At 45.9% G+C, this 21,915-nt stretch overlaps 1 protein-coding gene, 1 long non-coding RNA gene and 1 pseudogene across 9 annotated transcripts; 1 reads left to right on the top strand and 2 right to left on the bottom strand.

Annotated features, from left to right (window-relative positions):
- Window positions 1–1,034: 1,034 nt before the first annotated feature.
- On the bottom strand, window positions 1,035–9,013 carry LOC124904457 (uncharacterized). Of its 2 annotated transcripts, none has more exons than XR_007066739.1 (2): window positions 8,573–9,013; window positions 1,035–1,636 (listed from the first exon to the last, which is right to left on the bottom strand). It is a non-coding gene; the product is annotated as an uncharacterized LOC124904457 (long non-coding RNA). The 2 variants fall into 2 exon arrangements; XR_007066740.1 differs by lacking the exon at window positions 8,573–9,013 and adding an exon at window positions 6,128–6,247.
- On the bottom strand, window positions 4,313–4,443 carry RNA5SP67 (RNA, 5S ribosomal pseudogene 67; annotated as a pseudogene).
- On the top strand, window positions 8,186–21,713 carry SERPINC1 (serpin family C member 1). 7 transcript variants are annotated; one of them, NM_001386303.1, is made up of 8 exons: window positions 8,186–8,277; window positions 9,009–9,106; window positions 10,594–10,960; window positions 13,499–13,714; window positions 14,622–14,759; window positions 15,571–15,961; window positions 17,999–18,063; window positions 21,448–21,713. In NM_001386303.1, exons 1-8 carry the CDS (start codon window positions 8,254–8,256, stop codon window positions 21,622–21,624), a joined length of 1,476 nt encoding a protein of 491 aa, NP_001373232.1. In that variant the 5' UTR covers window positions 8,186–8,253; the 3' UTR covers window positions 21,625–21,713. The 7 variants fall into 7 exon arrangements, with proteins under 7 accessions (NP_001373232.1, NP_001351981.1, NP_001373233.1 ...); NM_001365052.2 differs by lacking the exon at window positions 9,009–9,106 and adding an exon at window positions 10,327–10,495 and having other exon boundaries at window positions 8,186–8,294; NM_001386304.1 differs by lacking the exon at window positions 9,009–9,106 and having other exon boundaries at window positions 8,186–8,294; window positions 14,622–14,738.

The following is a 21,915-nucleotide window of genomic DNA, read 5'->3' as shown; positions in this document are numbered from 1 at the left end:
CACAGCAGAAGCTGGGTCCTATCTCTTCCCTGCCAAGGTCTTATTCTTGAGTCCAAAGGAAAGAACAGAACAGCCCAGGGTATGAGGCAATGGACATGGACCTGCTGAATTACCTGCTCATGGAAGTTACTACTGAACTGGAAGCAGGGCTAGGGAAAGAGGAATTTTATCACTGATCTTGAAGGAAGTACTAAAAAAAGAGAGGGTAATCAACTGCTATGTTCTCTCCTCTTCATGGTTCCTTGAACCTACTCCTAACACAGCAAAGCACAAGCCTTCCAATCTTTTCACTCAGAATTGAGAAAAACAGTGCCACACAGAAGTAGGGAGTCCTTTTCAAAAACTGATTTTTTTGTGATAAAAGTTCTTAAGATGTCTATCTCTTTCTAATATTTCCAGTTCTAGAAATATTAGAAATTTCCATGAAAACGTTAATTTAAAGAAAAATTATTTTTCTTTCTTTTTTAGAGACAGGGCCTTGCTCTATTGCCAAGGCTGGCGTGCAGTAGTGTGATCATAGCTCACTGCAGACTCAAAATCCTGGACTTAAGAAGTAGCTATGGCTGGCCAGGCATGGTGGCTCACGCCTGTAATCCCAGCACTTTGGGAGGCCAAGGCGGGCGGATCACAAGGTCAGGAGATCGAGGCCATCCTGGCGAACACGGTGAAACCCCGTCTCTACTGAAAAAACAAAAAATTAGCCGGGCGAGGTGGCGGGCGCCTGTAGTCCCAGCTACTCGGGAGGCTGAGGCAGGAGAATGGCGTGAACCTGGGGGGGCGGAGCCTGCAGTGAGCCGAGATGGCCCCACTGCACTCCAGCCTGAGCAACAGCGAGACTGCATCTCAAAAAAAAAAAAAAAAAAAAAAAAAAAGAAGTGGCTATGGCTACAGGTGCACGCCACCACACCCGGCTAATTTTTTCATGGTTTGTAAAGATGGGATCTCGCTATGCTGCCCAGGCTATTCTTAACTCCTGGCCTCAAGCCATCTTCTAGCCTCAGCCTCCCAAATCATTACAAGCATGAGCCACCATGCCCAACCTAAAATATCTTTATTATATTTAAATATACACAAAAAATACTTTTCAGAATACCTATGTGTGTGTAAACACACACACAGTCACAAATTAGTTTGCCCAGCATACAAGCTCTTTTTTTCTTTCCCAGTCTAAACAGTCTAAGATGAACCAAGAGGAAATGGATCTGGGATCATCCAAACCTTGATAGTATAATAAAAGCCAAGGGGAGCTGTGTGCAGTGAGTACCAGAGACTAGGCTGGTGGTAAAGTCTCCCAGAGACCAATGAGAACTCTTGGGAGACCTGCAGGAGAAGCATAGTGGAGAGGGCGAGGCAGCCCGGGATCCAGCAGATGATCACTGCACCCACTATCCCTTGACTGTTTCCTGACTGTGTCTTCCTCCAAACCACTGATGGCAATGTTGGATAGGACAGAATGAGGCACATGGCTTCTCGGTCCGGAAACATGATTATAGATCCGTTTCTTTCATTCCAGGGCATGGGATCTCAGTTTCCCAAATGTGCTGGGTCCAAGAGGTGAGAGGCAGGGAATACCTGGGCTGATAACTTCCAGGGCTTAGGATCAGTCTCATCTTCATCATGTGGCTTATAGACCGACCTGTGGAAAAAGAAAGAGCTAGTGTGCTGAATGCCCAGGCTGAGTTGTGAGTATGCTCATTTGGGATGTGCATCAAATAAAATATGGATAGACAGGCCGACTGTGGTGGCTCATGCTTTTAATCCCAGCACTTTAGGAGGCTAAGGCAGGAAGATCGCTTGAGACCAGGAGTTCGAGAGCAGCCTGGGCAACATAGTGATTTCGATTCTACAAAAAACAAATTAGCCATGTGTGGTGGAGCATACTGTAGTCCCAGCTGTGGAGGCTGTATATATATTATATCTATATTATATATAGATATTATATATAGAGAGAGAGGGGTGGGGGAGAGAGAGAGATAGAGGCAAAGGAAAATGTGGTAGTCCCTGGGTTCATTTCTGGGCACTGGATTTGGAGGGAATTGTGAACAAGTTTGACAGAGACTATCCAGAGGAGAACCAGATGAAAAGCAGTTGGACACTGTGGGTTGTAACATGGGAAGTCCTGGGCATTTCTTTCATATCTATCGTGCTGGGACACAAGGGCTTTGAGAGAAGCAGAGGGAGGTTTGAATCTCAGCTCTGCTAGCTTTGCAATTTGGGGCAAATAACTCTTGTAAATAGTAGTGTTCTCATCTGTAAACTGGGCATAATTAGTATCTTTCTGGTAGAGCTGATGAGAGAATTATATAAGCTAATGCCTGGGAAGCATTTAGTATAGACCCTGATATATAGTGTTTTTAAATAGCACCTATTAAGATGGCACCTATATGATCATAAATCATATTCAAACTTTTAAAGAGTCTGACCTAGGCTAATGTCTAACACTAAAGTAATGGTTAAGTTCTAGACTACTGAATATTATACAGCCATTAGAAACTACTTTCACAGGCAGGGCACACCTAAACACCTCTTTCCACCTGCAGACCCGTTCTCCTTTTCTCCCCTGTCACCAGCCAGGCACTCAGCCTGCCTCAGGTTCCTCTTTGGTGCTGCCACTGCCCTCATCCTGCCCTGCTCCTCTTCTCTCCCCAAGCCTCTGTGTGAATACAACACTGACACCCTTGTGTCATAAAGTCAAGACATATTGAATAGGTGATACATTGACATGTTCAACATTAGAAAACTAAATAAGATGGTACATATTGATAAGTCTACTCCTACCCTTGTCTCTAGCCACCCCTCACCCCATCATCCTCACTTTGTGTTACAAAAAGCACAGCATACTATAAACACTTTCTGCAGCTTGCTTTTTCCCCACATAATTATCCTAAGGACCCTTCCATATCAGTACATCCATATAGAGCATCCTCATTCTTTTACACAATGGCACAGTTTTCCATTGTGGGGATGTGCCTTGGTTTATTTAACCAGTCTCCTACAGATGGAAGTGGTGTCCAACTTTTTGTTATTATGAATCAGGTCATGGCAGCTAACCTTGCTGAAACCCATGCAGGTGTAGCTGTAGGATGAATTTCCTGAAGTGGAATGTCTGATTCACAGGGTACATGCATTTGTAATTTTGGTGTTTCCATGTTTCCCTACAAAGCACCTACAAAGACTTATGGCACTTTGTACCCCGAAGAGCAAAGGATGAAACAGCTTGTTTCCTCACAGCCTAGTGTCTTGTCTAACTTAATCTCTTTTAATTCTAATGGTTTTTGTGATAATCCTTTTTAGAGAAACATGGAAATAACAGGGAGGGAGGAGTGCTTTAAAAGTCTTGCAGGGGCTGGATGTGGTGGCTAACACCAGTAATCCCAACAATTTGGGAAGCCAAGGCAGGCAGATCACTTGAGCTCAGGAGTTAGAGGCCAGCCTGGGCAACATGGCGAAAACCCATCTGTACAAAAAGTTTTTAAAAATACATAAATAAAGCCAGGTGCGGTGGCTCATGCCTATAATCCCAGCACTTTGGGAGGCCAAGGCAGGCGGATCATCCGAAGTCAGGAGTTCAAAACCAGCCTGGCCAACATGGTGAAATTCCGTTTCTACTAAAAATACAAAAATTAGCAGGGCATGGCGGTGCATGCCTGTAATCCCAGCTACTTGGGAGGCTGAGGCAGAAGAATCGCTTGAGCCCAGGAGGTGGAGGTTGCAGTGAGCCAAGACTGCGCCATTGCACTCTAGCCTGGGTAACAAGAGTGAAATTCCCTCTCAAAATAAATAAATAAATAGCCAGACACAGTAGCACACACCTGTAGTCCCAGCTACTTGGGAGACTAAGATGGGAGGATTGCTTGAGCCCAAGTTGTCTAGGGCTGCGGTGAGCTAAGATGGTGTCACTGTACTCCAGCCTGGGCAATAGTGAGACCATGTCTCAGAAAAAAAGATTAATTAAAAAAATTTTTGTAAGTCTTGCAAAAGGATCATTGAGGGAAGCTTAAATTAGCAGGTGAAAATTTGATGGAAAACAATATATTTGCATACTCTCAAGTATGTGAAGTATCCCCACAAGACATTTAACAAAAGGGGAAACATTGTAATTTTACAGCAGAGAAACTTGGCAGACACAATCTTGTAATCCAAGTTAATCACCAGTGATGGGATAAATTAACATCTGTACCTCCTGATGCGATACACTGAGAAGGACACAGTATTACCTCTGTTGTATTCCTGCCCCGAAAAGGATAACTTGAATCTAATCCTGAAGAAATTTTAGACATACCAAATTGAGAGACAGTCTTCAAAATTAACTGGCCTATATGCTTCAAACAAGCCAAAATCATGAAAGAAAAAGAGAGGAACTGTTCCCATCCAAGTACTAACCGGGGCCGACCCTGCTTAGCTTCTAAGATCAAGCACTTTCAGGGTAGTATGACCATAGACGAGAGGAACTGTTCCAAGCTGCAGAAGACTAAAGAGACATGACAACTAAATGCAATGTGTGCTCCTGCCCCAGGGAAAGGAGAAAAAAAATTCTTTTCTTTTTTTTTTATTGGCTATAAATCAGTGCTTCCCAAAGCATGGTCCAGGGACCCTAGGAGATTCAGAAAACCTTTCAGTAGGTATATGAAGTCGAAACGATTTCACTTTATTTATTTATGTTTTGAGACAGGATCTTACTCCATCACCCAAGCTGGAGTGCGGTGGTGCCATCATGGCTCACTGCAGCCTCAACCTTCCAGGCTCAAGTGATTCTCCCACCTCAGCCTCCTGGGTAGCTGAGATTACCAGCGCATACCTCCATGCCCAGCTAAGTTTTTGCATTTTTTTATAGAGATGGAGTTTCGCATGTTGCCCAGGCTGGTCTTGAACTCCTGGGCTCAAGCAATCCTCCTGCCTCGGCCTCCCAAAATGCTGGGATTACTAGTGTGAGCCACTCAGCCTGGCCAAAACTATTTTAATATGTAACTATTTTAATAATAATATTTAGATGTTCTTTGGCAAGACTATAAAAGGATTCTGAAACAAAGAAGGTGAAAACCATTGCTTTGAAAACCAGGTGTGGTGACTCCTGCCTGTAATTCCAGCTAGTGGGGAGGCTGAGGCAGGAGGATTGCTTGAGGCCAGGAGTTTGAGACCAGTGTGGGCAGCAGAGCAAGACCCCCATCTCTAATGGCAACAGAGTGACAACCAGTCTCTAAAAACATTAATTGGATGATTGGCAAAATTAGAATAAGGTTTAGAGATTTTTAAATAGTACTATATTTGAAAATAATGCTGGGCGCTGTGGTTCATGCCTGTAATCCTAGCACTTTGGGAGGCCAAGGCAGACGGATCACTTGAGGTCAGGAGTTTGAGACCAGCCTGGCCAACATGGTGAAAACCCGTCTCTACTAAAAATACAAAAAAAATTGCCAAGCATGGTGGAAGGGGCCTGTAATCCCAGCTACTTGGGAGGTTGAGTCACGAGAATCTCTAGAACCTGGGAGGCAGAGGTTGGAGGTGGGCTGAGATCAGGCCACTGCACTCCAGCCTGGGCGACAGAGTGAGACTCCGTCTCAAACAAAAAAAAGAAGAAGAAGAAGAAAAGAATATGCACCAGGCAGAGTGGCTTACACCTGTATGGAGTCTCGCTCTGTCATCCAGGCTAGAGTGCAGTGGCGTAATCTCGACTCACTGCAGCCTCCACCTCCCGGGTTCAAGTGATTCTCCTGCCTCAGCCTCCTGAGTAGCTGAGATTACAGGTGCATACCACCATGCCCAGCTAATTTTTTTTTTATTTTTTAGTAGAGACAGGGTTTCACTGTCTTGGCCAGGCTGGTCTCAAACCCCTGACCTCAAGTGATCTGCCCACCTCAGCCTCCCAAACTGCTGGGATTACAGGCGTGAGCCACCACGCCTGGCAGAACACTTTTAAAATATATATATAATTTAATTTTTAACATTTGAGACAGGGGCTCACTCTGTCACCAAGGCTGGAGTGCAGTGGTGTGATCACAGCTCACTGCAGTCTGAATTCCTGGGCTCAAGTGATCCTCCCACCTCAGCCTCCTGAGTAGCTGGGACTACAGGCTCATGCCACCATGCCCAGCTTATTATTATTATTTTCTGGAGATGGGGGTCTCACCGTGTGTGGGGTCTCACAGTTGGTCTTGAACTCCTGGCCTCAAGCCTTGGCCTTCCAAAGTGCTAGGATTACAGATGTGAGCCACTGCATCCAGCCTGGATGAACAAATTAAACACAAACCCTGATGTTATAGTTCTTAATTCCTTGACCTGGTAGTATCTGCATCCTAATCTTTTCCAGCGATGTTCACCAAATCACCTATATTTTTGCAGGGCCCCTCATCTGCCCTCCCCCAAGGACCTTCTTGGCAAGACACAAACCTCATAACTCCTATAAGCTGGAACAATAGGTCTCAACAGCATGTTCCTGAAACCTCAAGGTCTTTGTATTTCTGATTTCTCTTTGGACAGCTCTTCCTAAAGATATTCATATGGCCCCCTCCATCATTTCATTCTGGTTTCCTAACAATGATTCCTAAGGGAGGCCTTTCCTACCAAGTGTTCTCAGATGGTGCCCTCCCCACTTCCTCCCACTGCTTCCTATATCCTTGCCCTGCTATAGTTTTCTCTATGGACCTTATTAACATCTGACTGGCACGTTACATATTTATTTTTTAAATACTGATTTTTTTTTTTTGAGATGGAGTCTTGCTCTGTCACCCAGGCTGGAGTGCAATAGCACGATCTCGGCTCACTGCAACCTCTGCCTCCTGGGGTCAAGTGATTCTCCTGCCTCAGCCTCCTGAGTAGCTGGAATTACAGGTGCCCACCACCATGCCCAGCTATTTTTTGTATTTTTAGTAGAGATGGGGTTTCACCAGGTTGGCTAGGCCGGTCTCGAACTCCTGACCTCAGGTGATCCACCTGCCTCAGCCTACCAAAGTGCTGGGATTACAGGTGTGAGCCACCACGCTTGGCCTAAAATACTGATTCTTTATGTGATTGCTGTATGTCTCCCCCGAATGGAATCCCAGCCCCAAGAACAGTGTCTGCTGGCACAAGCAGCACTCGTGTATTTGTTGAACTCAAGTGGTTGAACAGGAGACTTTTCAATAGTCTTTAATCTAGGGTGACAGATGAGCCTCTGGGCATTCTGGGGCCCTTTGGGACAGTTCTCGGCTACTGTTCACACTGCACATGGAGGGCTTCAAAGGATCCAGGGTCTGAATCAGCCAAGAACTTAGACACAGCTTCAGTTCAGGAGAGATGTCCTCTCTCATGAACGAAGAGCTCTCGAAAATGCCTATGACTGCAACAACAACTACAAGGAGTCCTTGATCACACAGCAGGAGGCACATGCGCCCTGTGAACTTGGTGGCTGCAGTCCTTGTGATGGTGCTTTTGGCTATTTCAGAAGAGGGAAATGTAAACAAACCTGCCCTTTATCTCCACTAGTTTGAATTTACCCAATCTCCCCAATAACTAATAAAAATAACGATACACATAAATATAATTTAGTTTGTTTTTATTTCAGCAGTTGTACGTGGGTTTTTCACCTGCCCCGCATTCTGTCTCCTGATCCCCCAGTAGAGTTTTGCTAAGTATTTCCCAGCTGCTCACACCCCTTAGAAACGCGCTTGGCATGCACCCCGAGGCCCTGCTCTTCTCTCCCTGTCCCACCACTTCAGGGCTGCTGGGGAATGGGTCTCTCTGTGGGCCACAGGTGTAACCATTGTGTTTTCCTTGTCTGTGCCAGGGACACCTTGGCACTCAGATGCCTGAAGGTAGCAGCTTGTCCCTCTTTGCCTTCTCTAATTAGATATTTCTCTCTCTCTCTCCCTCTCTCCATAAAGAAAACTATGAGAGAGGGTGGGTATGAACCAAGTTTGTTTCCTTGGTTAGTTTCCTAACCAAGTTTGAGGGTATGAACATACTCTCCTTTTCCTTTTCTATAAAGCTGAGGAGAAGAGTGAGGGAGTGTGGGCAAGAGAGGTGGCTCAGGCTTTCCCTGGGCCTGATTGAACTTTAAAACTTCTCTACTAATTAAACAACACTGGGCTCTACACTTTGCTTAACCCTGGGAACTGGTCATCAGCCTTTGACCTCAGTTCCCCCTCCTGACCAGCTCTCTGCCCCACCCTGTCCTCTGGAACCTCTGCGAGATTTAGAGGAAAGAACCAGTTTTCAGGCGGATTGCCTCAGATCACACTATCTCCACTTGCCCAGCCCTGTGGAAGATTAGCGGCCATGTATTCCAATGTGATAGGAACTGTAACCTCTGGAAAAAGGTAAGAGGGGTGAGCTTTCCCCTTGCCTGCCCCTACTGGGTTTTGTGACCTCCAAAGGACTCACAGGAATGACCTCCAACACCTTTGAGAAGACCAGGCCCTCTCCCTGGTAGTTACAGTCAAAGACCTGTTTGGAAGACGTCATTTCAAGTGCTCTCCCTCCCACCCCACCTCTTGGGGTAAGGCCTTTCCTAAGCTACCCCTTGGGTCCCTAGCCTAAGAAACAAGGGGGATGTCATCCCTGGTGTAAAGATGCTGTGCAGGAAGTCAGCACTCACGGGATCCAGGGGACGCTCCAAGGGGAATCCCCAGGGCCTGCCATCCATCCGGGAAGAGAGCAAATGCTACCCATGAGGACCTCCTCACTCCCTTTTTGCTCTTTCTTCCACTCAGATCCACCCCACTCCACCCCCACCCAAATCCCAGTGACCTTTGACTAAAGGGCCAAAACTGCTTCCTTTTCTCACAATGAGAGTTGTCCCTCCCTCAATGCCACACACACTCCCTTCTTCATCTGAGTTGTCACAGGAGGCTAGAAACGGGGTGGTGGCACAACTGTCTTGGTTTTAATTTGTGCTTCATAGCCCTCCCAGGGTCCTCTCAGCCTCAAATTGCATTTCCAAATGTAGTTGAAGGACAGAGTGGGCAACCGAAGGCAGTGGAGATGGGAAGATGAATGGCAGGGTCCTCTCCTCTCTCTCTCTGCTTCTTCAGCCTGCCTTCCACATCTCCCTTGGTGCCGCTGCTTCTCTCCGGCTTTGCACCTCTGTTCTTGAAAGGGCTGCAGAACTGGACTCAGACCACGCAAGAAGGCAAGTCCCCCTCAGCTGCCCCAGCTTCCAGCCAGCCCCAGGCTTGCCCAACGGACCACGTCCGTGAATCTGCACTGGGTGCCTGTCTTTCTCTCCCAGGAGAAGATGGGAAGATCCAGTACCCACACACAGACCCCCTTGTGTACACGCAGGAACCATAAACCAGCTGGAGGCAGCCCCTGCCCCACCCTGTCTTATCTACAAAAAATATTACAAGAGACTTTATCTCTTGATTTGCTTCATCGAGTGTCCCAACTACCTCATTTTTTTAAAATGTGAAATTAGCTTCATTTACCTTCATTGAATCCATGTTGGCGACTATTAAAAATTCCAGGCAATAAAAAGGGATGAGAGCCTGAACTAAAGCAGTGGCAATAACTGGTGAAAGAGTAAAAAAACAGAACTGATTGACTCTGGGGTGAACTGATTGACTCTGGGGTTTGACTAAATGAGGAGGAGAGAGGGAGGAATCCAGGGTGATTCTCAGGTTTCTGTACGGGATTCACTGAGCCCACTCACAGGAGCAGGCCTGTGGGGGAGAATTAATTACCAGTTCAGTTTGGTCCTGTTTCCCTGAAGAACTTGTAGGAGTTCCTGGTGGAACTGTCCAGCAAATAGTCAGTCTGGAGCTCAGTGGAAGGGTTAGGGCTGGAGCTAGAGATGTAGGAATCTTCAGCACACAGATATTGCCATTGTTTTTGTTTGTTTGTTTGTTTGTTGTTGCTGTTTTGAGACACAGTCTCACTTTGTCACCCAGGTTGGAGTGCAGTGGCACAATCTCAGCTCACTGCAACCTTCGCCTCCTGGGTTCAAGTGATTCTTCTGCCTCAGCCTCCCTAGTAGCTTGGGACTACAGGTGTGCGCCACCACACCCAGCTAATTTTTGTATTTTTAGTAGAGACAGGGTTTCACCATGTTGTCCAGGCTGATCTCGAACACCCAACCTCAAGTGATCTGCATGCCTCAGCCTCCCAAAGTGCTGGGATTACAGGCGTGAGCCACCGCACCCGGCCAGATATTGCCTTTGCTCCATCCATTTCTTCTTACTTCTCTTGTGTTGCTGAAATCTCTCTGCTGCATCTATCAGAGTCCTTCCCCAAACAGTTTCTGTAGATGGCTCCCCCTACCACCCTGACTCTTCACTGGGCACTAAAGCCGATTTTTTAGGCATGCACATTCCATGTCACAAACAGGAAGCTTCTCATTCTTTTTTCTCCCAGCGTGGGGAATTGAGCACATAATACTCCAAATAACCATCAGATGATTCTAATTCCAACATGACCACGTCCAGGCAACTGAACTGTCCCCTGGCAAGAAGTCTAGGACTGAACCTGTCCCGGGCCCCTGTACTTGGTTCAAAGGATTTAGCCTTTCTCTTGGCCACACCAGGTGGGCTGGAATCCTCTGCTTTACTGGGGCAACCCTGTGGTGGGCAGTGGGGCTAGGGGTTGCAGCCTAGCTTAACTTGGCATTTTGTCTCCTTGCAGGAAGGTTTATCTTTTGTCCTTGCTGCTCATTGGCTTCTGGGACTGCGTGACCTGTCACGGGAGCCCTGTGGACATCTGCACAGCCAAGCCGCGGGACATTCCCATGAATCCCATGTGCATTTACCGCTCCCCGGAGAAGAAGGCAACTGAGGATGAGGGCTCAGAACAGAAGATCCCGGAGGCCACCAACCGGCGTGTCTGGGAACTGTCCAAGGCCAATTCCCGCTTTGCTACCACTTTCTATCAGCACCTGGCAGATTCCAAGAATGACAATGATAACATTTTCCTGTCACCCCTGAGTATCTCCACGGCTTTTGCTATGACCAAGCTGGGTGCCTGTAATGACACCCTCCAGCAACTGATGGAGGTACGACCAAAGGTCTTCTGCCCAGCCACCTTGTTAGGAGCACCTTTGGGGCTTCCATAGGCCCAAGTCCAATGATTCCTCAACCAACACTGCAGGCCACTAGGGGCGCTCATTATGCATTACGATTCCCTTTGAACATCACTGTGTTATAATTCCCTTTGAAAATCATTTTTTAAAAAATTAGCCAAGGAATCTTGGCTATCTACTTTTTAAATCCTGGTTTCCTCTTTTGAGCACCTTAAAATGGGGGAAGGCTTGTATCTTCTCTCAACTTCTTTTCAGTAATTCTTTCATCTATATGTTTACTCATTAATTTGATCATTTATTTATTTATTCATTCAGCACTTCCTCTGTGCCAGGCAATGTGTAGTGCCAGTCCCTCCTCTGGTGGAAGAAGAGTAGCTTTACCATATGGTGACATCAGGCATATAGGCTCTCGTGGAAAAAAATTCTAGGATAGTATTTTTTTTTTTTTGAGATGGAATCTCGCTCTATTGCCCAGGCTGGAGTGCAGTGGTGCAGTCTCGGCTCACTCCAAACTCTGCCTCCCAGGTTCAAGCAATTCTCCCACCTCAGCCTCCTGAGTAGATGGGATTACAGGCACACGCCATCACGCCCAGCTAATTTCTATATTTTTAGTAGAGATGGGGTTTCACCACGTGGCCAGACTGGTCTCAAACTTTTTTTTTTTTTTTTTTGAGACGGAGTCTCGCTCTGTCATCCAGGCTGGAGCGCAGTGGCACGATCTCAGCTCACTGCAACCTCTACCTCCCGGGTTCAAGCAATTCTCAGCCTCAGCCTCCCGAGTAGCTGGGATTACAGGCCCCCGGCACCATGCCTGGCTAATTTTTTTTCTTCTTAGTAGAGATGGGGTTTCACCATGTTGGCCAGGCTAGTCTTGAACTCCTGACCTCGTGATCCACCTGCCTTGGCCTCCCAAAGTGCTGTGATTACAGGCGTAAGCCACCGCGCCTGGCCTCAAACTCTTGACTTCAAGGGATCGGCCTGACTTGGCTTCCCAAAGTGCTGGGATTACAAGCATGAGCCACTGCACGGGGCCTAGGATGGTATATTGAGACCAGGGGCCCAGGAAAGCCAAGAGAAGCCTCAAGGACGTGAGAGTGTTTTCTGGCTCTGGGAAGTATGGATCATTTCAGCTCAGTGACTTAGTTCCCACCCCCTTCCCCCCACTGCCTTTTGTGGGAGGGAAGTAGGGCATGATAAGATGAAATGTCATAGATTGATTGATCACTGTTGGCCTCTGGGGCTATGACAAGTCATGGATGGAAACACTAGATCTTTAATCTGTCCTTGGCTTGGCTGCATGACAGTCTTTCTTCAAGTTGGATCACACTTTGGAAGCAGAGTTCATCAATAGGGAGGCATGAGTCCCTTCAAGATGGTATACGGTGCTTATTTGAAACTTGGACACTAAAGTCTGTGGGTCTTAGGAGGGTTCCTTCTATTCTAGTGGTCAATTTCCATGGAACTTCATCACCTTTGCTCAGGGCTCTGGGGTGAGTTAACCCAAGTCTTCACTCTTTGAAAGAAATTGTAGATTTAAAAACTCTGAAGACACATAATACTGCCTTCTCTGGGCCCTTCAGTCATTTTTGTATACATTGGTACTGGTCTCAAAGTACTTCCATATCACTCATGTCTCTGTCCCCAGGTAAGATCTTAAATGTAACCCTTCCTACAAGAAGAACAGAACAGAACACTGCTTCCAAACCACACATGTTCCTTTGGTCCTCCCCTCTACACAAACGCCATGTGTTGGGAAAGCAGGGTGAGACTGAATCTCTCTGGAGAAAAGAGAGATTCAGCACCAAGCTTTTGATCAAAAGCATAATCCCCCCCTAAAAAAAGTGCCTATTGGAGCAAAATCAGGAAAACCAAAGGCAGAGAACAGATAAAACCAAAAGGCCTTTTGTAGCCTGAGGAGAGAGCATGGAAAGGGCAGGAGGGGAACAGCCTCACCCATTTTGCCTTGGGGATGGTGAAGGTGGGCATTGGGGGATTCCAACTTCAAAGCATGGATGACTTCTAAGTCCTTTTCAGCCCTGAGCTCTTAGATTCTGAGCCTGTTTAATCCCTTGCTGATAGATTCACTCTTCCTTTTTCACCCCTACCACCAGTATCCCAGAGCCTCCATGAGCAGCTGGCCCCAGTAGATGCCACAAAAGTGTTTGTTACGAGAAGGACACCGTCCTGATTCTCTTCTCTGTCCAGAATCACCAAGAGGACTTTTCCCATTCCAGCAAGAAAACGTCTGTGTGTTGATCTAGAGGCGTTTAGAGACTTTAGGTGGCAACCTAGTCTCTCTTTTTCCCTTTATCCTTCCTACCCTTCATTCTTCTTTTATCCTTTTATTCATCAGAACACAAGAGTTGAGCATTTATGCTGTCCCAGGTACTGTGCTTGAAGGAGTTAACAACTGAGGTGGCTATTAGTCAGAGACTGACCAGCATGTGCTCACCACCCATGTTAACTAGGCAGCCCACCAAACCCACCACCATTTTTTTTTGACTTCTATAGGTATTTAAGTTTGACACCATATCTGAGAAAACATCTGATCAGATCCACTTCTTCTTTGCCAAACTGAACTGCCGACTCTATCGAAAAGCCAACAAATCCTCCAAGTTAGTATCAGCCAATCGCCTTTTTGGAGACAAATCCCTTACCTTCAATGAGACCTACCAGGACATCAGTGAGTTGGTATATGGAGCCAAGCTCCAGCCCCTGGACTTCAAGGTGAGTTGCAGATGTTACCCCTGACCTCCGAGTTCTTCCTCTCCACTCAGAGATTGAGGAGGTGGAGAAACAGCATCCAAATTCACACTGCTTTGCTGCTGAAGACTGCTGGAGGGCTGACTAAAAGTTAGAACCCCTGCAATAGTTATTCTTACTTGAAACCTGAGAAATCAAAGGTATCCATGCTTGGATTGTAGTGACTGCCCAGAAAACATGAATTAATAATCAATTCTTCATTCCATCCACCAACTTCAAATATATACCAAAGGGTGTTTTGAAGATGCCAGTTCTACAAGATATCTTACTTAATTTGAACTGTTATCATGGTCAAATAAAGTTGGTACATGATGCATGTTACATTCTCCTCTTGGAGATTCATGAAGCACATGGGCCTATGAAGGTTCTGAGAAACTCTGCAACAAAGAAATCTGTTGGCTTTATTCAATCGGCATTCCTCAAATGTATTTGACTGCATGGGCATTTCTCTCCTCCATATAACCTGCCAACCCCATATAACCTGCCAACCCCATATAACCTGCAATCATTCATTGCTTCCCCTGGCACATGCCTTGGAAATTCTACTTTTGTGAGTTAAGGTTTTCCAAAGTCAGAGAAAATAATATTTTATCTTCTTTTTCCCAGACTATTTTCGCCTTCCTTCTTTTCATTTATTTCTTCCTATTTCTTTTTGTTCTTTTTCTTCTGATAATATTTATTAACTACAGGAAAGATTCATGGAACTATATTAGATATGTGAGGCTTCCCCAATTTGGGTTAGAGCAATGGCTTCTTAATCAAATGGTGGGAAAGGACAGAGGGATGGTGAGAAAAATAAAATGCTGCCTGGGAAAATGGAGAAGCCAATTGAATAGCACAGGTGAGTAGGTTTATTTTCTGTTCTCCTCAGGAAAATGCAGAGCAATCCAGAGCGGCCATCAACAAATGGGTGTCCAATAAGACCGAAGGCCGAATCACCGATGTCATTCCCTCGGAAGCCATCAATGAGCTCACTGTTCTGGTGCTGGTTAACACCATTTACTTCAAGGTACTCAGAATGGCCCTGGAGAGACCCCAGGGACTTCCTCTTGCTCTTCAGCTTACCCCCTTTTTTTTTAAATGGCGAGACCGAAGCCCTGAGAGGGCAAATGGACTGCCGAAAGCTACACAGGTACAGGTCAGCAGGGCAGGTCAATCTATTATTTATTTATTTATTTATTTTTGACAGAGTCTCGCTCTGTCGCCCAGGCTGGAGTGCAGTGGCGTGATCTCGGCTCACTGCAAGCTTCGCCTCCTGGGTTCACGGCATTCTCCTGCCTCAGCCTCCCAAGTAGCTGGGAATACAGGCACCCACCACCATGCCTGGCTAATTTTTTGGTTTTTTTTTAGTAAAGACGGGGTTTCACCGTGTTAGCCAGGATAGTCTTGATCTCCTGACCTCGTGATCTGCCCACCTCGGCCTCCCAAAGTGCTGGGATTACAGGCATGAGCCACCGCGCCCGGCAGATTGGCTTCTTTCACCTAGTAAAATGCATTTACTGTTCCTTTGTGTTTTCGTGGCTTTGTCACTCATTTCTTCTTAGCATGGAATAGCATTACATTTGGTCTGGATGTACCACAGTCTGTCTATTCATCTACTGAAGGACATTTTGGCTGCTTCCAAGGTTTGACAGTTATGAATAAACCTACTCATAATTCCATCATTCTGACACAGCCATTGTTAACCTTTTTGTGCATATCCCGCCAGTCTTTTTTCCGAATAATTATATATTAATGTAACACTATAATATGGATATGTCTTGTGTCAATAACTATCCTCCTATGAATGTTTGTGTTCTTACTTTGTGATTCTCTTCCAGGGCCTGTGGAAGTCAAAGTTCAGCCCTGAGAACACAAGGAAGGAACTGTTCTACAAGGCTGATGGAGAGTCGTGTTCAGCATCTATGATGTACCAGGAAGGCAAGTTCCGTTATCGGCGCGTGGCTGAAGGCACCCAGGTGCTTGAGTTGCCCTTCAAAGGTGATGACATCACCATGGTCCTCATCTTGCCCAAGCCTGAGAAGAGCCTGGCCAAGGTAGAGAAGGAACTCACCCCAGAGGTGCTGCAAGAGTGGCTGGATGAATTGGAGGAGATGATGCTGGTGGTCCACATGCCCCGCTTCCGCATTGAGGACGGCTTCAGTTTGAAGGAGCAGCTGCAAGACATGGGCCTTGTCGATCTGTTCAGCCCTGAAAAGTCCAAACTCCCAGGTTTGTCTAGGAAGGAGTTTCCTCCCTTCTCCACCCGCAAGGTAGTCTGACCAAAAGTGGAAGAGTTGGAGAAAGAATAGAAAGGAGCAACAAGTCAGGACTCCTGGATACTGATCCTAGTTTCTACTGCTAATTTGTGGAAATCTCTTTTCCTTTTGAGACCTCAGTTTCCTCTTCTGTAAAAGGGAAGTTTGTTCTTGGATCTCCATGGGCCCAGCTAGCACTGGTGCCCTGTGAGTCTGTATCAGGTAGAGGAGATGGGACCAGGTGGAGAGGAATTTGAAAGGGCATTGGAATTCAGAGCAAAGAGACAGATATTAAGAGCTGGGGAAATGTGGTTCCCATTACACAGGCCTCACTGACATTTATTATTATTATTATTATTACTTGAGACAGAGTCTTACTCTGTTGCCCAGGCTGGAGTGCAGCGGTGCGATCTCGGCTCACTGCAACCTCTGCCTCCCGGGTTCAAGCGATTCTCATGCCTCAGCCTCCTGAGTAGCTGGGATTACAGGCACACGTCACCATACCTGGTAATTTCTGTATTCTTAGTAGAGATGGGTTTCACCATGTTGGCCAGGATGGTCTTGAACTCTTGACCTTGTGATCCGCCTGCCTTGGCTTCCCAAAGTGCTGGGATTACAGGCGTCAGCCACCGCACCTGGCACATTAAAATATCTTTTAAAGAAGTTGGCTGGCCAGGGTGGCTCACGCCTGTAATACCAGCACTTTGGGAGGCTGAGGTGGGAGGATCGTCTAAGCCCATGAGTTCGAGACCAGCCTGGACAACATAGTGAGATGGTCTCTACAAAAAATAAAAAAAATTAGCCAGGCATGGTGACGCACACCTGTAGTCCTAGCTTCTTGGGAGGCAGAGCTGGGAGGATTGCCTGAGTCCGGGAGGTCAACGCTGTGGTGTACTGTGATCACACCACTGCACTCCAGCCTGAGCAACAGAGTGAGGTCCTATCACTAAATAAATAAATAAATAATAAAATAAGTTTACGATGTTAAGTAATTAGATTTATCTTTATTGACCTTTTTTTTTTTTTTTTTTTTTTGAGACGAAGTCTTGCTCTTGTCCCCCAGGCTGGAGTGCAGTGGTGCAATCTTGGCTCACTGCAACCTCCACCCCCCAGATTCAAGTGATTCTCCTGCCTCAGCCTCCCAAGGAGCTAGGATTACAGGCGCCTGCCACCACGCCCGGCTAATTTTTGCATTTTTAGTAGAAACGGGGTTTCACTATGTTGGCCAGGCTGGTCTTGAACTCCTGACCTCAGGCGATCTACCTGCCTTGGCCTCCCAAAGTGCTGGGATTACAGGCGTGAGCCACTGTGCTATTGGGCTGTCTTTAAGCTAGTTTTGAAAACTAAAAATGTTGCCAGACTGGAAAGAAAGATGTTCCTTCTGGATGGAGTGAGTTTTTTCTGTAAGAACAGAGTCTTGCCGTTTCTCTCTCCCACAAAAAGCTGAAGCCTGAGAATGAATTATCAGGAGCCATGCTGAACAAGCCCAAAGTACTTTTATTATTATTATTATTATTATTATTATTATTATTATTATTATTTTTGAGATGCAGTTTTGCTCTTGTTGCCCAGGCTGGAGTGCAGTGGCGTGATCTTGGCTCACTGCAACCTCCACCTCCCGAGTTCAAGCGATTCTCCTGCCTCAGTCTTCCAAGTAGCTGGGATTACAGGCATGCGCCACCACACCTGGCTAATTTTTGTATTTTCACGATAGAGACAAGGTTTCACCATATTAGTTAGAGTGTCTCCAACTCCTGACCTCAGGTGATCTGTACACCTTGGCCTCCCGAAGTGCTGGGATTACAGGTGTGAGCCACTGCACCCAGCCCCCAAAGTACTTTATTATTTTTAACACATATTCATTGTGAGAGTATGATTAGGTGAAGATTTAGGATTTCTTCTTATGTTTCAAAAAGCCCCAAAGGATCTCTTAATCCAAACTGAATTCCCATCTGTGGGTTGAAGCCAACTTTCTCCCATCTCACAAAGACTTCTCCGGTCTTCCTTCCAGGTATTGTTGCAGAAGGCCGAGATGACCTCTATGTCTCAGATGCATTCCATAAGGCATTTCTTGAGGTGAGTACACCTTCCCCACTCTCTTAGGGTACAGAAAGGAGATGCATGAACAGCAGGAACACGTGGAAAAGGCCTGTTTCCAGTGTTAAGGCATGCAAAAGGCCTCCACAGGCCTGCTATAATACAGCCCTCTCCAAAACCTTCATGGTGTGATTGTTCTGCCTTCCCTCCCACTACCTCTTCTGTAGCAGGTCAAGCGGGAACACAAACATTTAGGGAGGGTGATATAGGAAAAGAAGCCAGCAAAGGCCATCAAGAAGAAATTTACAGCATGAGGAGAACCAGAAGAGTATGGGGTCGCAGAAACCCAGGGAGAATTTTTTTTTTTTTTTGAGACAGAGCTTCGTTCGCTCGTTGCCCAGGCTAGAGTGCAATGGTGCGACAGCTCACTACAACTTCTGCCTCCCGCGTTCAAGCGATTCTCCTGCCTCAGCCTCCTGGGTAGCTGGGATGACAGGCATGTGCCATCACGCCCGGCTAATTTTTGTATTTTTAGTAGAAACAGGGTTTCTCCATGTTGGTCAGGCAGGTCTTGAACTCCCGATCTCAGGTGATCCACCTCCTTGGCACCCCCAAAGTGCTGGGATTACAGGCATGAGCCACTGCACCCGGCCAACCTAGGGAGAAGTTTTAAGAAAATGGATAGCATCTAGTAAGAAGACTCCTGGGCTGGGCATGGTGGTTCACACCTGTAACCCCAGCACCTTGGGAGGCTGAGATGGAAGAATCACTTGAGCCCAGGAGTTTGCAACCAGCCTGAGCAACATAGTGAGACCCTGTCTCTACCAAAAAAATCTTAAAAAAAAAAAAAAAAGTTTGGAGACTGCCCATAGTTTACCTTTCCCTGAGGACAGAATAGTGTGGCCACATGCCTAATTGTAATGGATGAAGAGCAAATGGAAGGTAAGAAAGGGAAGCTGGTGAGTGTGCATCAGTGTCTTAAAGTGTGCTCCAACTAGAGCACTAGACTACACTGGAGGAAACGAAAAGGTGGTCAAATAAATGCATATCCTCTCATGGGAGATGAACAGTACACACTGACATGCTGAGGTCTGACAAGTCCCACAGTAAAGAAGACGGTTGAATATCACTTAACGTGTTCCCCCAAATGAGATGTGCATGGAACCCTGTGTTAGAGTAATAGCCGTGTACAGCCTGTGGAACTTCTGGTTCTCAAGTAAACACTAAACTATGGACCAACAGCAGTAGTTATCTGGGGAGCTTTATCTTTGGAGATTCTGGGATGGGCCCTGAGAATCTCTGTATGTACTAAACTCCTCAGGGGATTCTTATGCACAATGAGATTTGGGAACCACTGGTATAGACTATTTTTTGCGGGAGCCAGGCTGTGAGGGATAGGAGATTGGACAATGGTAGAGATGTTCCTAGAATCAAAGAAATCGAAAAGAATGAAGGTTGTAGTCAAAGAGAAAGGTTTCAGAGGATGGTGCTAAGTAAATATAGATCCAGGGATCAAACTCAGAGGAAAGTGGAATTTTAACGGGAGCGAGGAAATGTGATAGCTTGAAAGAACACAAGGTTATAATCTGAGAAAAGGATGCTATTAATATAATTTCAAAGGTAGAGTAGTTCTGAGATGGCAAGTCCAAGGTGTAGCCATGGACAGGTTTGCTTAAGTGGAATGAAGGCAATGCTCATTAGGTTTGATGAAAGAAATGGGAGACTAGGGTGTTGAACGGGTCTCCTAATGAGATTTTTTTTTTTCATTGAAATGGAGTCTTGCTCTCTCGCCTAGGCTGGAATGCAGTGGTATGATCTCAGTTCACTGCAACCTCCGCCTCCTGGGTTCAAGCGATCCTCTCGCCTCAGCCTCCCAAGTAGCTGGGACTACAGGTGCCCGCCACCACGCCCGACTAAATTTTTGTATTTTTAGTAGAGACGGGGTTTCACCATGTTGGCCAGGCTGGTCTCAAACTCCTGACCTTAAGTGATCCACCTGACTCGGCCTCCCAAAGTGCTGGGATTACAGGCATGAGCCACCGTGCCCGGCCTACTGAGATATTTTAATTGCCTCAAATGATAGCAGGAGTTGGAGTGGACAGAAAGGCTAAGTGCAAAAATCATCAGTGTGGGGATATAATCTATAGGACAATGAATGTCAATGACCTTTAAGACAATAGCAAGAGTAGAGGTATTGAGGTCAGAACAAGGGATTTTACAAGAGTGCTGTATTAATGGTTTTGGAAGTTAAGATGACACTGCTCACACCCTCTTTCACATGGATTTTTGGAAGAAAGAACACTTAGGAAGACTGCAAGGGAAATTGAGTCCTCAGGGTTTTAACTCTCATTGAATATCCTCTGGTAAGGACTCCAGTTAGAAGTGGTCAACTCAGACCTCCTTGAGGGGTCTGAGTTACTATTAGGAAGAAGCAGAGGTCTGGATTCATTTTATCCACCTGAGCCCAGTACACAATATGTAAGATTTTTCCATGGTTCTTACAACAAAGCCGTTTTCTTTGAAAACCTTGGGAATCCTTAATAAACAGGACCCCAACTAATTGTAGACCTGAGAAGCCATTAAAAACCAGAATCTGATTTGAATAAAAGGATCCTGGTCATGCAAACACTCTAGTCTGCTAATAAGCTAATAATTTAGTGCTGGAATGAGCATGAAATAGGTAATATGGGGAGATAGCGGGTAAGGAAGGGAGGAACAAAGGAAGGGGAAGGAAGAGTGAGAAGGAAGGAGAAGACATCATCAACCAGCTCCACAAAACCCAGGGAGCCGGTTAATCATGTGCTTTCATTAAGAGCAGAAACAGAGTTTTAGTGATATTCTGGGTCCTGAGGCAAAATTTTCTGAAGGTGTTTCCCTCTAGATCTGCTTATCAGCCATGTTCAAATACCATTGTTTCAGTCTATTACTCCAAGAAAATGGCATCTCGTCCAGCCAGAGAACCCACCTCTTTTCATAGGCCCTAGGTCCTGAGTGGCTCTTTGGAGTAGCTGTATCTTGGATCTTGATGCTCCAAGAGTGAAACTGTTTCTTTCAACTATGGAGTTCAGATCTTGAGCCAAAAATCTTTCAGCGGCTGGTACAAAAAAAATCCGCTGTAAAACCATTTACAATGGTACCAGCCAGAAATGTGATAACCTGTGTACATTCAGATTTCTGGGTTACCTGAATGGAACTCTTACACTTATTACCTAGCACAAGGCTTGGACAAACACAAGTACCTTACATTCTCTGCATGAAAGAATGAGTAGAAGTAGGATTCTGGAGGGAATCCAACCTGACCCAAATGTACTTTTTACTGGAAAACAAAAGCATTTGAGGAATTGCTGTGTCTGTGGATGATTTACCTGCCAAAAATGAACGGCAGAGTGGCTAATTTAGTTTTATTTCCCATGTGACCTGCAGGTAAATGAAGAAGGCAGTGAAGCAGCTGCAAGTACCGCTGTTGTGATTGCTGGCCGTTCGCTAAACCCCAACAGGGTGACTTTCAAGGCCAACAGGCCTTTCCTGGTTTTTATAAGAGAAGTTCCTCTGAACACTATTATCTTCATGGGCAGAGTAGCCAACCCTTGTGTTAAGTAAAATGTTCTTATTCTTTGCACCTCTTCCTATTTTTGGTTTGTGAACAGAAGTAAAAATAAATACAAACTACTTCCATCTCACATTATAAATGGACTCTGCATTTGAAATGAAGACAAGGAAAGGGGAAACATGCTATTGGGGCACATGGTAAAATGATGCCTTCAAGTTGTTCTTTACCCAGTAACCACATCTGGATCAAGAAAATGAGGGAGAGAGCGATAAAAGATGGTAGACAGCCAGAAAGGGAAGGGAGAGTGAATTCTCAGTATTTCCATCACACTAAAACATATC

This window comes from Homo sapiens, chromosome 1 (genome assembly GCF_000001405.40).
Source record: "Homo sapiens chromosome 1, GRCh38.p14 Primary Assembly".
Taxonomy (NCBI): Eukaryota; Metazoa; Chordata; class Mammalia; order Primates; family Hominidae; genus Homo; species Homo sapiens.
The sequence above is the reverse complement of the archived record's forward strand: the minus strand, read 5'-3'. Positions and strand labels throughout refer to the sequence as shown.

What these genes read in the sequence shown, in the direction of transcription:
- SERPINC1 (NM_001386302.1), top strand. Translation starts at nt 8,254, where the DNA reads ATGTATTCCAATGTGATAGGAACTGTAACCTCTGGAAAAAG. An exon ending in GACTGCCGAAAGCTACACAG is followed by an intron (nt 14,883 to 15,570) that starts GTACAGGTCAGC and finishes ATTCTCTTCCAG; the next exon opens with GGCCTGTGGAAGTCAAAGTT. An exon ending in TCCATAAGGCATTTCTTGAG is followed by an intron (nt 18,064 to 21,447) that starts GTGAGTACACCT and finishes TGTGACCTGCAG; the next exon opens with GTAAATGAAGAAGGCAGTGA.